Source organism: Homo sapiens, chromosome 7 (genome assembly GCF_000001405.40).
Source record: "Homo sapiens chromosome 7, GRCh38.p14 Primary Assembly".
Classification (NCBI taxonomy): Eukaryota; Metazoa; Chordata; class Mammalia; order Primates; family Hominidae; genus Homo; species Homo sapiens.
This window is the reverse complement of record NC_000007.14, coordinates 144,196,749-144,211,536: the sequence shown is the minus strand read 5'-3', so window position 1 is coordinate 144,211,536 and position 14,788 is coordinate 144,196,749. Positions and strand designations below refer to the sequence as shown.

At 43.7% G+C, this 14,788-nt stretch overlaps 1 long non-coding RNA gene across 1 annotated transcript in view, besides 5 other annotated features; it reads right to left on the bottom strand.

Annotated features, from left to right (window-relative positions):
- ARHGEF35-AS1 (ARHGEF35 antisense RNA 1) overlaps positions 1-14,788 on the bottom strand; it is a 104,269-nt gene that overhangs the window by 88,053 nt on the left and 1,428 nt on the right. The window contains exon 2 of the long non-coding RNA NR_126022.1: positions 3,733-3,844. This is a non-coding gene — a long non-coding RNA (ARHGEF35 antisense RNA 1). The remainder of the gene's footprint in view (positions 1-3,732; positions 3,845-14,788) is intronic.
- Positions 1,588-2,215: an enhancer, noted in NCBI's record as "H3K27ac-H3K4me1 hESC enhancer chr7:143906415-143907042 (GRCh37/hg19 assembly coordinates)". NCBI's record gives its function as "activates a minimal SCP1, AML or CMV promoter by ChIP-STARR-seq in primed H9 embryonic stem cells {active_cell/tissue: H9 hESC(primed)}" and the evidence as "EXISTENCE:reporter gene assay evidence [ECO:0000049][PMID:30033119]".
- Positions 2,844-3,471: an enhancer, noted in NCBI's record as "OCT4-NANOG-H3K27ac-H3K4me1 hESC enhancer chr7:143905159-143905786 (GRCh37/hg19 assembly coordinates)". NCBI's record gives its function as "activates a minimal SCP1, AML or CMV promoter by ChIP-STARR-seq in naive and primed H9 embryonic stem cells {active_cell/tissue: H9 hESC(naive and primed)}" and the evidence as "EXISTENCE:reporter gene assay evidence [ECO:0000049][PMID:30033119]".
- Positions 3,472-4,100: an enhancer, noted in NCBI's record as "OCT4-NANOG-H3K27ac hESC enhancer chr7:143904530-143905158 (GRCh37/hg19 assembly coordinates)". NCBI's record gives its function as "activates a minimal SCP1, AML or CMV promoter by ChIP-STARR-seq in naive and primed H9 embryonic stem cells {active_cell/tissue: H9 hESC(naive and primed)}" and the evidence as "EXISTENCE:reporter gene assay evidence [ECO:0000049][PMID:30033119]".
- Positions 5,975-6,536: an enhancer, noted in NCBI's record as "H3K27ac-H3K4me1 hESC enhancer chr7:143902094-143902655 (GRCh37/hg19 assembly coordinates)". NCBI's record gives its function as "activates a minimal SCP1, AML or CMV promoter by ChIP-STARR-seq in primed H9 embryonic stem cells {active_cell/tissue: H9 hESC(primed)}" and the evidence as "EXISTENCE:reporter gene assay evidence [ECO:0000049][PMID:30033119]".
- Positions 6,537-7,099: an enhancer, noted in NCBI's record as "H3K27ac-H3K4me1 hESC enhancer chr7:143901531-143902093 (GRCh37/hg19 assembly coordinates)". NCBI's record gives its function as "activates a minimal SCP1, AML or CMV promoter by ChIP-STARR-seq in primed H9 embryonic stem cells {active_cell/tissue: H9 hESC(primed)}" and the evidence as "EXISTENCE:reporter gene assay evidence [ECO:0000049][PMID:30033119]".

The window sequence follows — 14,788 nt, the reverse complement described above, 5'->3', positions numbered from 1 at the left end:
TGAGAAGAATAATTGGGGAGACAGTCTATACTTTTGGGAAGGGTGGTTTATTATCATAAAATCTCAATTCTCCCCCAAATTAACCTCAAGTAAGATTTCAGTTGGGTTTTCTGAGGATCTCTGAAAACCTCTATAATCTACATGGAAAAATAAAGGTCCACAAATAACTAAATAAACGTTGAGAAAGAGGAGAAAAGTAGAAGTAGGGGAGGGAGTGTCCCAACCAAATCCATGGATGTACTACAAAGCCACTGTCATAGAAACAATTTCAAGCAAGAACATTTAAATGGACAAGTAGAACAGAACAGAGGGCAAGCGTCAGAAACAGACTCATCTACTTATAAGAATGTAATACATAATAAAGTTGGTAGCATAAATCAAGAAAAGATGAACATTGGAGTTTAAAAACTGACATAATAGACTGACATAATTAAGTATCTACTCAATATCATTAGACTAAAAAACAGACTCAGGATGGAAAATAAAGCTGTTAAGATAATATAGAAGAATTAATGTGTGGCAAAATTGTTACACATTTCTGTTCAGATTACTAGGAGACAATGTTTTCAATATCTAAAACTTACAGATAACTAACATTGAGATTATACAAGTGACAGGGCCAGATTTGCAACTCAAAAAGATCACCTAAGGGTGCAGCAAACTGTATCTACTCTTTCTCTTCTTTTTCTTTTTCTTTTTGAGATAGGGTCTCATTCTGTCACCCAGGCTGGAGTACAGTGACATGATCCTGGCTCACAGCAGCCTCAACCTCCTTGGCTCAAGCCATCCTTCCACCTAGGCTTTTGCAAGGCAACAAGAAAGTTTTGCAAGGATACAAGAAAGTTTTGCAAGGCAACAGGAAAATGAGAGTAACTCAACAGAAAAGTAGACAAAGGCATGATAGGCAATGTGAATAATCACATGACAACAAATTTACTGAGATCCTCAACCCACTAGTAACCAGAGAAATGAAAATTAAACAGCAGTGTAATACCGCTTTGAAGCTACTCAACTGATCAAAACATGCCCAGTGTTGTTGGGGACATGGGGCTACAAAGACTCTTGCACTGTGATGAACACACAGTCAGTGCAGCCATTCGAGGGAGCAACAGCCAGGATCTGGCTAAATAAGCACACCATCGCTTTCCAACCCCAGAATTCTGATCTTGGATGTTCACATCCCACAGAAATTCTCACACAGGTCCGTAAAGGATGTATACAAGGCTGCCCATTACAGCATCGTTTGTGATACAGGGAAGGTGAAAGGATTTGGGTGGCCACCATTGAAAGTGAGAATAGGTAAAATATGATGAATTCAGACTGTGGAACAAAAGCACTGGTTAGAAGCAAAAGACTACAGATACACAAAGGAAAATGAGTAGATGTTTAAAACTCGTCCTAATTTTAAAAAGTAAAAAGTGTAAAGTCGATAAAAGACAGCATTTATGTAAATTAAAAACACATACAAACAGTGCAGAATTCGTTATAATAAGAAAGGAATAAGTAAACTAAGGCAGGAGCTTGAACAAACCAAAGAAACCAAATGATACCGTGCCATGAAGATTTCAAGGAATTCTATTTTCTGCAACTGTCCTCCCCCAATTTACCAAAATAGGTACACTGCAATAAAACCTACAAAGTGCCTTTATAGAGATTAGCTCTAGTGCTCGCTTCAGCAGCACGTATACCATATAAATTAAAAAATACATACATAAAATACATTAGCTCTAAAGAGTGTGGATGTTTGGAGGAGAGAATAAGAAAAGGCTTCACCAAGAAGGTAACAACAGAGATGGATCTTGGAGGACTTGTAAGAGTTCATAGAAAGTAGGGAAAAGGGGAGTGTAATCTGAGGGCAACTGTAAAAGCAAAGGTTTCTAAATACAAGCAAAAGATAAGAAAGGAGAGAATAGGCTGGGTGCAGTGGCTCATACCTACAATCCCAGCACCTTGGGAGGCTGAGGTGGGAGGATCACTTGAGCCCTGGAGTTTGACAGCAGCCTGTGCAACATAGTGAGACCCCATGTCTACAAAAAAAATTAAAAATGAGCCAGGTGTGGTGGTGCCTGCCTGTAGTCCCAGCTATTGGGGAGACCAAGGTAGAAGGATGGCTTTAGCCCAGGAGGTTGAGGCAGAAGTGAGCCATGATCACATCACTGCACTCCAGCCTGGGTGACAGAATGAGACCCTATCTCAAAAAGAGAAAGAAGGGAAAGAATTGATACAACTTGCTGCACCTTTAAGTGATCTTTTTGAGATGAAAATCTGGCCCTGTCACTCTCCCTTAGATCCTTCAATGGATTACCTTGCCCTCAAAATAAAGATCAAATTCCTTAACATGGTCTACTAGGCCCACGTGATCCCTGGTCTCTGCTCACATCTTCAGTTTCATCTTCTGCTATGGGATTTCCACCTCTGTCCTCCAGATCTGAAATTTTCTAGCTTTCCTTCAATGACACTCCTGCCTCCAAATTACAGATTTCTCAAACCCTCCAGAAGAGGTCATTCTCAGGTTTTATATATATATACTTTCAGAAATCAAAGACAAAATTCTGAGACCTCCCAACCATCTGAAAGGACACCTCCTCTAGGCCAAAGGCATTCCAAAGTTAAGCTGAAAAACTGTTTCAGGCTGTGATGGAAGTGGGGGTCAGACATGCCTCATTATGCCCTCCTCTTTTTTGGAATTCAGGAAGAGCCGACCGGCACTAACATCAACACAGACCTAAGGCCTGATAAGAAACATTTACCATATCTTTCCTGTTCCTCACCCTGATCACGCTTCATTTACTGATGGCAGCTCCACCAGGCCTAATCGCCACACACCAGCAAAGGCAGGCTATGCTATAGTACAAGCCACTAGCCCGCCTTTCAGAACCTCTCATTTCCTTTCCATCATGGAAATCTATCCTCAAGGAAATAATTTCTCAGTGTTCCATCTGCTATTCTACTATTCCTCAGGGATTATTCAGGCCCCCTTCCTTCCCTACACAGCAAGCTCGAGGATTTGCCCCCACCCAGGACTGGCAAATTAGCTTTACTCAACATGTCCGGAGTCAGGAAACTAAAATCTTAATCTCTCCCAATCTAGGTTCCCACGCCGCCCCTAATCCCGCTTGAAGCAGCCCTGAGAAACATCGCCCATTCTCTCTCCATATCACCCCCCAAAAATTTTTGCCACCCCAACACTTCAACACTATTTTGTTTCATTTTTCTTATTAATATAAGAAGGCAGGAATGTCAGGCCTCCGAGCCCAAGCCAAGCCATCACATCCCCTGTGACTTGCAGGTATAGGCCCAGATGGCCTGAAGTAACTGAAGAATCACAAAAGAAGTGAATATGCCCTGCCCCACCTTAACTGATGACATTCCACCACAAAAGAAGTGTAAATGGCCGGTCCTTGCCTTAACTGATGACATTACCTTGTGAAAGTCCTTTTCCTGGCTCATCCTGGCTCAAAAGCACCCCCACTGAGCACCTTGCGACCCCCACTCCTGCCCACTGAGCACCTTGCGACCCCCACTCCTACCCACCAGAGAACAAACCCCCTTTGACTGTAATTTTCCTTTACCTACCCAAATCCTATAAAACGGTCCCACCCTTATCTCCCTTCACTGACTCTCTTTTCGGACTCAGCCCGCCTGCACCCAGGTGAAATAAACAGCCATGTTGCTCACACAAAGCCTGTTTGGTGGTCTCTTCACACGGACGCGCATGAAAATAATACCTACCTCATACATCTGTCATGTAACACTTTAGTGTTCTATATTTGCATAGCTGTATCCTTCCATTAGTTTGTATAGAGCTGACTTAGTATTTTTGGTTGAATAAATGTTGAATGACCTGGCAAAAAAAAAAAAAAAAAAAAGAAACATTTACCATCTATTCTCTCTGAAACCTGCCACTTGGAAGCTTCATCTACATGATAAAACCTTGGTCTCCACAACCCCTTAACATATCCCAGACATTCCTATTGATAATAATTATTTTGACCAGTTACAAATCAGAAAATTTATAAATCTACCTATGACCTGCAAGCCCTCCTACCCCCGCCCTCAAATTGTCCCACCCTTCCAGATTGAACCAATGTAAATCTTACATGTATTGATTGATGTATTATGTCTCCCCAAAAATGTATAAAAGCAAGCTGTACCCTGACCACCTCGGGCACGTCATCGGAACCTCCTGAAACCCTGTCATGGGTATATCCTTAACTCTGGCAAAATAAACTTTCTAAACTTTCTTTGAGACTTATCTCAGGTACTTTTGAGTTCACACTTTTTAGCATCCATCAAAATTATAGTAATTTATTATTAAGTAATCATTTGTTTAATGTTTATGCGGGCATAACCTAGGTCCTTGAGATCAAAGACCATGTGCACAACTATATCCCTAGCCCCTCATTCAACGCTTTGCACAATATGGGTTGAGTATCCCTTATCTGAAATGCTTGGGACCAGAAGTGTTTTGGATTTTGGATTTCTTTGGATTTGGGAATATTTGCAGGTACTTAACCAGTTGAGCGTCCCAAGTCCAAAAATCCCAAATGTCAAATGTTCCAATGAACACTTCCTTTGAGTATCATATTTCACAATTTGGAGCATTTTGGATTTGAGATTTGGGGATTAGGTCTGCTAAACCTATACATGTGTTGAATGACTGCATAAATTAAGGAATGGAGTAGGAGTGCTTTGGTTGGGGTGGGAACCAGTGATTCTGTTTCAGACAGCTACCCGTGATAGTAGCAGCTAAATAAGAGTTGGGGTCAATTATGGAACCACTGGCCCTGTTCTTTCTCTCAATGTTCTACACAATGGGATCCTCAGTGTATCCACTGGGGGAACGAGATAAAAATATTAGAGCTTTCAATGACATTTATTTGTACCTCATTATTTTAAAACATCTGTGTTTGCATATCATACAGAAGTACACATATATAATTCATAAATAAATAAAACATGCATATACTGGGGAAATGCCTGCTCAAAATTTTTTTATTGACAGGAGGTAGAATGAAAGATGTTTAAAAATCACTGCTGTGGGTCAGAGAGTTTCCACTATTATTAGGCATCCAAATCAGCAAGGAGCTATTTTCAAATAGTTCTGTTTGACCCCAAACCTACAGAATTAAAACTCCGTGGGTTTAGGGCAATGGCAAATTCAGAATGCTGATCAGATGATTATGATGGAAGCCTCTGCTAAAGAACCACTGCTTTTCTATCAGGATTCCTAAACCTGGCTTCTCATCCTAATCATAATCATCTTAAAAACAAACAACAGTCAGGCCCAGTGGCTCATGCCTGTAACCTCTGCACCCAGGGAAGCCAAGGGAGGAGGATCCCTTGAGGCCAGGGGTTCAAAATCAGTCTGGGAAAATAGAGAGTACTGAGACCCCATCTCTACAAACAAATTAAAAATTAGCTGTACATGGTGGTGTGTACCTGTAGTCCCAGCTACCAGGGAGGCTGAGGTGAGAGGATGGCTTGAGCCCAGGAGTTCAAGGCTGCAGTGAGCTATGATCACGCCACTGCACTCCAGCCTAAGCGACATAGCAAGACTCTGTCTCATAGATAGATAGATAGATAGATAGATAGATAGATAGATTGATTGATAGACAGATGGATTTTAAGGAAATTTTGCTGATTTGCCAGGTTTGGGAGCCACTGTGTCAGAAGTGTTCAAACCACAGTGACTCCATCATAAATAGGGACTTGATAAAACAAAGCTGAGACCTATGGGGCTACATTCCCAGGAGGTTAGGCGTTCTTAGTCACAGGATGAGATAGGGGTCGGCACAAGATACAAGTCACAAGGACCTTGCTGATAAAACAGGATACAGTAAAGACACCAGCCAAAACCCACCAAATCCAAAACAGTGATGAAAGTGACCTCTCTGGTCATCCTTACTGCTCATTATATGCTACTCATAATTCATTAGCATGCGAAAAGACACTCCCACCAGTGCCATGACAACTTAAAAATGCCAGGCAGTGTCTGAACTTTAGACCCTATAGGGTCTAAAGTGGAGAGGAACCCTCAGTTCTGGGAACTGCCTGTACCTTTCTTGGAACACTCATGAGTAATCCACCCATTGTTTAGCATATAATGAAGAAATAACTGTAAGTATACTCAGTCGAACAGCCCATTCTTTTATTCCTTTGCTTTCTTAATAAACTTGCTTTCCCTTTACGGGCTTGCCCCAAATTCGTTCTTGTGCAAGGCCCGTGAACACTCCCTTGGGGTTGGGACCAGAACCTCTTTCTGGTAACAAATACAGTAGAGCCAGAACTCCACTAAATGAACTTTACTGGTTATAGTCTCTTTAAGAACAGGAATTGGGCTGGGCGCGGTGGCTCACGCCTGTAATCCCAGCACTTTGGGAGGCTGAGGCGGGAGGATCATGAGGTCAGGAGATCAAGACTATCCTGGCCAACACGGTGAAACCCTGCCTCTACTAAAAATACAAAAAATTAGCCGGGCGTGGTGGCGGGCGCCTGTAGTCCCAGCTACTCAGGAGGCTGAGGCAGGAGAATGGCATGAACCCGGGAGGTGGAGCTTGCAGTGAGCCTAGATCATGCCACTGCACTCCAGCCTGGGCCACAGAGCGAGACTCCATTTCAAAAGAACAGGAATTGGCTGAGTGCAGTGGCTCACGCCTGTAATCTCGCCAGCACTTTGGGAGGTTGAGGCAGGTGGATCATTTGAGCCCAGGAGTTTGAGACCAGCCTGGGCAACAAAGTGGGACCCCCATCTCTACAAAACAATACAAAAATTAGCCAGGCATGGTGGTGTGCACCTGTAGTCCCAGCTACTCGGGAGGCTGAGGTGGGAGGATTGCTTGAGCCTGGGAGGTGGAGACTGCAGTAAGCCATGATAGCACCACTGCACTCCAGTCTAGGCAACAAAGCGAGACCCTGTATCAAAAAAATAAAAATAAAAAATAAGGAACAGGGATCATTCCCATCCCCATCCCTATCTTCCAAAAATTTTGGATGGGGAAATTTCCAAAACATCCCAAATCCAAACATTTCAAAAGACAAAAAGCAAGACAACCTGAATAACAGCGCTTCTAGGGATTGCTCACTGTAGGGCAGGCAGGCAAGGACCCACTCCCTCTTCATGACTGCAACACCTCACCATAGCTATAACCAGCCTCCAGGAGGACCTGGGCATTCTCAGACATTATGTACCAGACGTTTTGGAAATGTTCAACTGAATGAGATTTGGAAGTATACATATTTTTCTATGATATATGCACTCAAGTTAAAAATGTCTTTGTACAGGAGATTCGAAAAATATGAGCCTCTAGTCTAGAGACTTAGGAAGAGTGATGGTGTAACTGCTGACCTACAAGCATCACACAGAGGCATCATCACTTTGGCATTGGTTTATAAACTCACCGACAAGATAATCTTTTCCTCCTCCAAACTCCCATGGCACCTCTAGCATAAAGTGCACTGCACTTCAACACTGTTGTTCATCTGTCACATCCATTACACTGTGAGCTCCTTGACATCAGGGTAGGCAACCTATTCATCTTTTAGAACCCAGCAGAGCTGGTAAGAGGCTATTCTTTTTTTTTTTTTTTTTTTTTTTGAGATGGAGTCTTGCTTTGTTGCCCAGGCTGGAGTGCAGTGGTGCAATCTCGGCTCATTGCAATCTCCACCTCCTGGGTTCAAGCGATTCTCCTGTCTCAGTCTCCCGAGTAGCTGGGATTACAGGTGCAAGCCACTGAGCCTGGCTAATTTTTGTATTTTTTTTAGTAGAGACAGGGTTTCGCCATGTTGGCCAGGCTGGTCTTGAACTCCTGACCTCAGGTGATCTGCCCACCTCGGCCTCCCGAAGTGCTGGGATTACAGGCGTGAGCCACCACACCCGGCCAGGGCTGTTCTTTTTTTTTAAGGCAATGGCACTCTTTCCATCTCTTCCTCCTGACCATTCCACCAAACATCTCCCACAGATACAAACCATAGAGAATATCAGGTATTTTCAACTTTGCTAATCAACTCTTTAAAATGATAGTCCATTTTAGAACTTGAACAAATATTTACTATACCATTTATCGACCCCAAGTTGGGCTTTCCTCCTCTTAAAGAAGTTCAGTGAACTACAAGAATTTGTGGATTAAAAAAAAAAAAATTTAACCCAAAGACTCCTAGTGACCTTTGCTGGAGCTAACACAGCATCTCTTAATCCAGCTCTAAAGGATGTGAAGAGCTCCAGGCCTGAGGCACCATGCTGTGCAGCAATTTACTTCTTCATTGCACCAGGCTCATCCCTCATTGCCCACAGCATCCAGGGGTAAACTCGGAACAAAAGATTGCTTACACTTTCATAACTTCAAAAATTACATCACACATGCATGTCCAGTGTTAAACTACAACTGATTACATGTACTGTCTAACGAAATTGTTGAATACTTGCTCTGCTTTTCTCCCTGTTGGCCTTACAATCCCTGTTTCTAATTTCCTTCCATCCTCGGGTCATAAAACTTTATACCCAGTGGCCTGGCACAAAAGTTTCTTTTCTTGTTTCCCTAATATCCTTAAAGCAGGCATTGCAGTCCACTGTACTTCTTCCTTCTATACAAGCTGGAACACCCTGAGTCCTAAGCTTTACTGTGCTTAAGAATGACCCGTGGGAGGCTGAGGTGTGTGGTTCACGAGGTCAGGAGTTCAAGACCAGCCTGGCCAGTATGGTGAAACCCCATCTCTACTAAAAATACAAAAACATTAGCCAGGCGTAGTGGCGGGCGCCTGCAACCCCAGCTACTTAGGAGGCTGAGGCAGAGAACTGCCTGAACCTGGGAGGCGGAGGTTGTAGTGAGCCAAGATCATGCCACTGCACTCCAGCCTGGGCAACAGAGTAAGACTCCATCTCAAAAAAAAAGAATGACTCACAAAGCGAATTGGAGACTCCAATGCAGGTGTACCACAAACTACACTTTGATCTATGGTGTGGCAGATGTCACAGCCGGATCACCCGCACATCCACAAACTATACGTTGAGACCCTCCGCACACTTAGTTGTTATATACATTATTAATAATTCACAAGTGAACACAACTGTGAATTATTAAAAATTCACAATTCATTCATTCATTCAGGTCGAGGTGGTCTCTTTCACTTCTTAAACTCCCATCCTTTTCCTACACCCATGACTTAATATCTCTGAGAATAAGTGAGTTTCTAAATGTCTGAGTTAATAGAAACATTCTTTTTACAAGCAAAACAGACCATTTCCTCAGTAACCCTTCCCAGAACCACCCATCTTACCACTCTTACCACTACTGATTAAAAAAAAGAAAAACAGGTAGTGCCGATCAAACCAGGCAAGCTGAAGCCCATGGCTCCTGGACACAAATGATGACAGCTGTGACTAAACTCCTAGGCAAGGCTCTTTGATGTGTCTATCTGGCCAATAGGCCTCTACATCTTGAAAGCAAAGTAGCAACATTGAGAAAAAAAAGGGCCAGGCTGTGAAATGCAAGTTCAAAGCAAGCAGCAAAGTATTAATAGTTGAGCTTCTTTCTGCAAATAAAACACAGAGCTCTAGAGGCAGCCCCTGCAAAATCAAGAGCAGAACTCCTCAAGGAGTCCTCTCACAAACAGAGAAGTACTCAGAGAGGACATCATTTTATTCACCTCCAACAGTCAATTCTTCAAATCTGACTTGATCATTTTATCTTCAAAAAACAGTCAGCACGGCCGGGCGCGGTGGCTCACGCCTGTAATCCCAGCACTTTGGGAGGCCGAGGCGGGCGGATCACGAGGTCAGGAGATCGAGACCATCCCGGCTAAAACGGTGAAACCCCGTCTCTACTAAAAATACAAAAAAATTAGCCGGGCGTAGTGGCGGGCGCCTGTAGTCCCAGCTACTTGGGAGGCTGAGGCAGGAGAATGGCGTGAACCCGGGAGGCGGAGCTTGCAGTGAGCCGAGATCCCGCCACTGCACTCCAGCCTGGGTGACAGAGCGAGACTCCGTCTCAAAAAAAAAAATAAAATAAAAAAATAAAATAAAAAAAAAAAAAAACAGTCAGCACAATACTAAAATCCATTCCCTGTCTTATTTTCCCATTGCCCCTGCATTCGTTCAAGGTGTCTTCTTTTCTTACCTCCATGACTACAATATCCATCTAATTGCTACAACAGCTGATTGCCTTCCTTGCCCCTCCACTTCACTATCCACACCAGTCCATTCTCTCAACTGCCCCCAGAGCTTTTTTTTCTAAATCTAACCTTAGAATCTGATCTCATCATGACCTTGCTTGAAACCCTTCCAAGGAGGCCTATCCCCAGAAGGATGAAGTCCAAACTCAGTAGCAGGAATGGCCTACAAGGCCTTTCATGATTTGGCTGCCCGACTACCCTTCCAACTTCATTCTCTGCCATTTCTTCACCACATCTCATGTTAAACCCACACTATTTGCACATCCCTGAACAGAGGGTGCTCAGGCTTGTATTTTTGCATATTTCACTTCTGCTATTGGTATGCTTTTCCTATATCCTCCTCTATACCAGGTTAACAGAATTTTTTTTTTTTTTTTTTTTGAGACAGATTCTCGCTCTGTCGCCCAGGCTGGAGTGCAGTGGTGCGATCTCGGCTCACTGCAAGCTCTGCCTCCCAGGTTCACGCCATTCTCCTGCCTCAGTCTCCCAAGCCCGGCTAATTTTTTTTGTATTTTTAGTAGAGACGGGGTTTCACCATGTTAGCCAGGATGGTCTCAATCTCCTGGCCTCGTGATCCCCCGCCTCGGCCTCCCAAAATGCTGGGATTAAAGGCATGAGCCACCATGCCGGCCAGTAACAGAATATTTTTAAAAGACAAGTCAACTCAAATCTCACCTTCGCCGGGCACGTTGGCTCACACCTGTAATCCCAGCACTTTGGGAGGCCAAGGTGAGTGAATTGCTTGAGTCAAGGAGTTCGAGACCAGCCTGGGTAACATGACAAAACTCTGTCTTTACAAAAATATACCAAAAATTAGCCAGGTGTGCATGGTGGTACACATCTCTAGTTCCAGCCCCAGGAGGCTGAGGTGGGAGGATCACCTAAACCCAGGAGTTTGAGGCTACAGTGAGCCATGATTGCACCACTACACTCCAGCCTAGGTGACACAGTGAGACCCTATCTCAAAAAGAAAAAAATATATATAATCCACCTTATCCATTCAGGCTTCTCTGATTCCCCAAGGAGTGCCACCTACTCTCTCCTTTATGCTTCCATTGTACTTTGTGTCCATCTCAACATAACACTTACCATGCTCTGCTGCCATTATTTGCTACCTGTTTCTCTCCTCAATCAGATTGAGAGCTTCTTGAAAGCAGAGATCTTGTCTTTGTATATCTGGTTTCTAAGAATGCATACTGAGTAAATGAATAGAAGAAAAAATGAATGAGGCAATTAGTATGTATGCCTTGAATGGCATTAAATTTAGGCTTATGCCAATCAATGTGCAAAGGTTGAGAAAATAAATAAGGGGAAGCCAAGGATAGAAAATAAAACCATGCTCATCAGAATAGAAGAGGATAGGCTGGGCGCAGTGGCTCACGCCTGTAATCCCAATCACTTGGGGTCAATAGTTTGAGATGAGCCTAGCCAACATAGTGAAACCCCATCTCTACTAAAAACACAAAATTAGCCAGGCTTGGTGGTGCGCACCTGTAATCCCAGCTACTGGGGAGGCTGAGGCAAGAGAATCACTTGAACCTAGGAGGCAGAGGTTGCAGTGAGCCTAGATCGTGCCACTGCACTCCAGCCTGGGCTGGACAGAGCAAGACTCCATCTCTGAAAAATAAAATAAAATAAAATAAAACAAAAAAACAGAATAGAAGAAGATAGCTAAGAACCACAGTGGTCAAGCCAGCCTGGCTTCAACAGAGATGAATGGAGAGACCACGGTCAGCCCCATTAACAGAAGAACTGGGGCCAGGAACGGTGGCTCATGCCTATAATCCCAGCACTTTGGGAGGCCGAGGCAGGCAGATCATGAGGTCAGGAGTTCGAGACCAGCCTGACCAATATGGTGAAACCCCATCTCTACTAAACATACAAAAATTAGCCGGGTGTGGCAGCACATGCCTGTCATCCCAGCTACTCAGGAGGCTGAGGCAGGAGAAACGCTTGAACCCAGGAGGCAGAGGTAGCCATGAGCCGAGATCACGCCATTGCACTCCAGCCTGGCGACAGAGCGAGACTCCATCTCAAAAAAAAGAAGAACTGAGTTCAAAATCAGTTCGAAAGGTTCAATGTTGGGTCACAGGATCAGGCAAAAAGCAGAGGCAGAAAGGCCTTAGGAGTGTTCCAAGAACTAGCACTGGACCAGCTGAGAGTCAGAGAGAGTTCACCACGTGGGAACAATGCAGCCAGTCATGTGGGATAGTGGCACCATGACAGTATCTAGTCAGGACAATGACAGCCCCAGGGATAATGCTGATGAGTTCCTGCTTCAAAAAAGGTCATTGTCATTCCTTTAGTCCTGATACCTAGAACTATACGGGATTGTTCCCTGCCTCTCCCCAAGCCCCATAACTTGATCTTAAAGGCATTATTGTCAATTAAAGTAGTCCCAAGTTCCAGAAGCTATTTTTATTCAGCCTCGTCTAATAGGGCTTTCATTTTAAAATAGCTTTATTTTGAATCTATTTACTGTTCCCAGCCCCTATCACTTTGTTCTTATAAATATATTCATTCCACATGCATCACTGACAGGCACTGCTAGGAAAGGAAACTAACCCATCTTGACCACCTTTACACATCAGGTACTTATACTAAGGTGATTTCTATATATTACAGTATTGAATCACCACAACAATCCAGTGACGTAGGTATCATTACATATTATTATCCCCAATTAAGACATTAGGGAAATGAAACGTAAGAAGATTCAGAGAAAGCACAGGAAGGTGAATATGCCCAAGATTTCACATTAAGTAAATGGAATGCAGGATTCAAATTTACCCCTGTCTGAATCTAAATCTCATTCTCTTTCCATGGCATCATTCTCTCTCCTCTCTAGGCCTTTATAGAGGAAATATAGGCCCAAATAAAATATCAAAATCTCAGGATGGGATGACAGGCTTGATTAAGAAACCCAGTCACCAAGACCACGCAGCAAGAAATGAAAAAGAAAAAAAATAATAAAATGCTGAGAACCATAGTCTGCAAAGTGAAAGGAAGAATACCTGGGAGAGCTAGAGTGACCTCCACATGCAAATACACCCTGCAGACAGGAACAGGCTTGATGGGAAGAGCAAACTCCCTAAATGGTCGGTTGTAACTTTCCTACTAGTTGAAAAGTCAGGAAAAGCCTTGTGTGCTAACTCTCTGGACAAGCGCACAAGAATCCAGGGTTGTGACTTCAAAAAAAAATATGCTGACAAGTCAGAGCTGGCAGAACAAGAGGAGGTCGAGTTGATGAGAAGAGAGAGAGAGAGAGAGAGCACTGTAATCAAGGAGAACCAACTGAAGCTGGAGGGAAGCAGAAAGAATAGCCAGGCTGGTTCAGGAGGCAGTTCTGGTACCTCTGACCCCATTGCCCACCCCCAGTAGGCAGCATGAAATATGCCAGAGGTCAACAATTTTTTTTTTTGTATTTTTTAGACAGAGTCTCACTCTGTCACCCAGGCTGGAGTGCAGTGGTGCAATCTCAGCTCACTGCAGCCTCTGCCTCCTGGGTTCAAGCAATTCTCCTGCCTCAGCCTCCCAAGTAGCTGGGAATACAGGTGCCCACCACCAAGCCCAGCTAATTTTTGTATTTTCAGTAGAGAAGGGGTTTCGCCATGTTTGGCCAGGCTGGCCTCAAATTCCTGAACTCAGGTGATCCACCGGCCAAGGCCTCCCAATGTGCTGGGATTGCAGTTGTGAGCCACCGCACCCGACCCAGAGGTCAACAGCTTCTGCCCTAGATCAGAAGTTTACTCACTTTGCTCACTCGGTATAAATCAAGGACCCTCTCATACCTGGGAATGAGTTTTGTATTCCAGCCTAGAAGTAGAGCCAGTCCCAGTTTGAACTTTTTGCCTTTCTGTACTCCCAGTTCTTACCCTTTTGCTGAGCCTAGGACACATGCAAGGCCTGCCCTTCTTAATCCAGATTTTTGAGTCTTAATCCCAATTTTTCCTATAGTTTCCCATACACTCCATGGCAGCTTAGAGTAGGCTGAAAACTGCTGAACTGTTTAAGACTTAATCCTTCAGAGTAACATGGCAGAAGTAGCACACTTTTTTAACATAAAGCTGTTCAGGACTCTATTACAGAAGAGGCTATACTTCCTTAATTACATTCTATTCTACAGCCACCTCAAAATAACTAGTGAACACGTTCAACCAGGATCATTGGCAACAGCCAATGGGCACAGTGATCTAGAAATGGTCTAGCCAAGCTGTTTGGGCTGTAGACCATGGCATTCCTAAGAGCTAAATAGGCAAGGAGTCCATTAATATTTCACTTGACTTATGTCACCATGGAAACCCCTGGAGTAGTGAATGGCTTTGGGGAGTGGTCAGATTCAACCAAAAATAACAGAAATCTCTGTCCCCCAGGTAAAGGATTCCTACTTTGTGTGTGTCTGTGTGTGCACACAGGCACACTCGAGAGACTTTTGGCATTCTTTGAAGTCACTGGAGGGGCACAGAGATAAACCCACTCAGCCTTGGCCTCCAAGACTAACAGAACAAAACGTTTCCCTGAAAGAATAAAAAAAAAATACAGGCATAAGAAAACACACAAACATGGGCTTAGAGATTTAAATACACACACACACACACACACACACACACACACACAC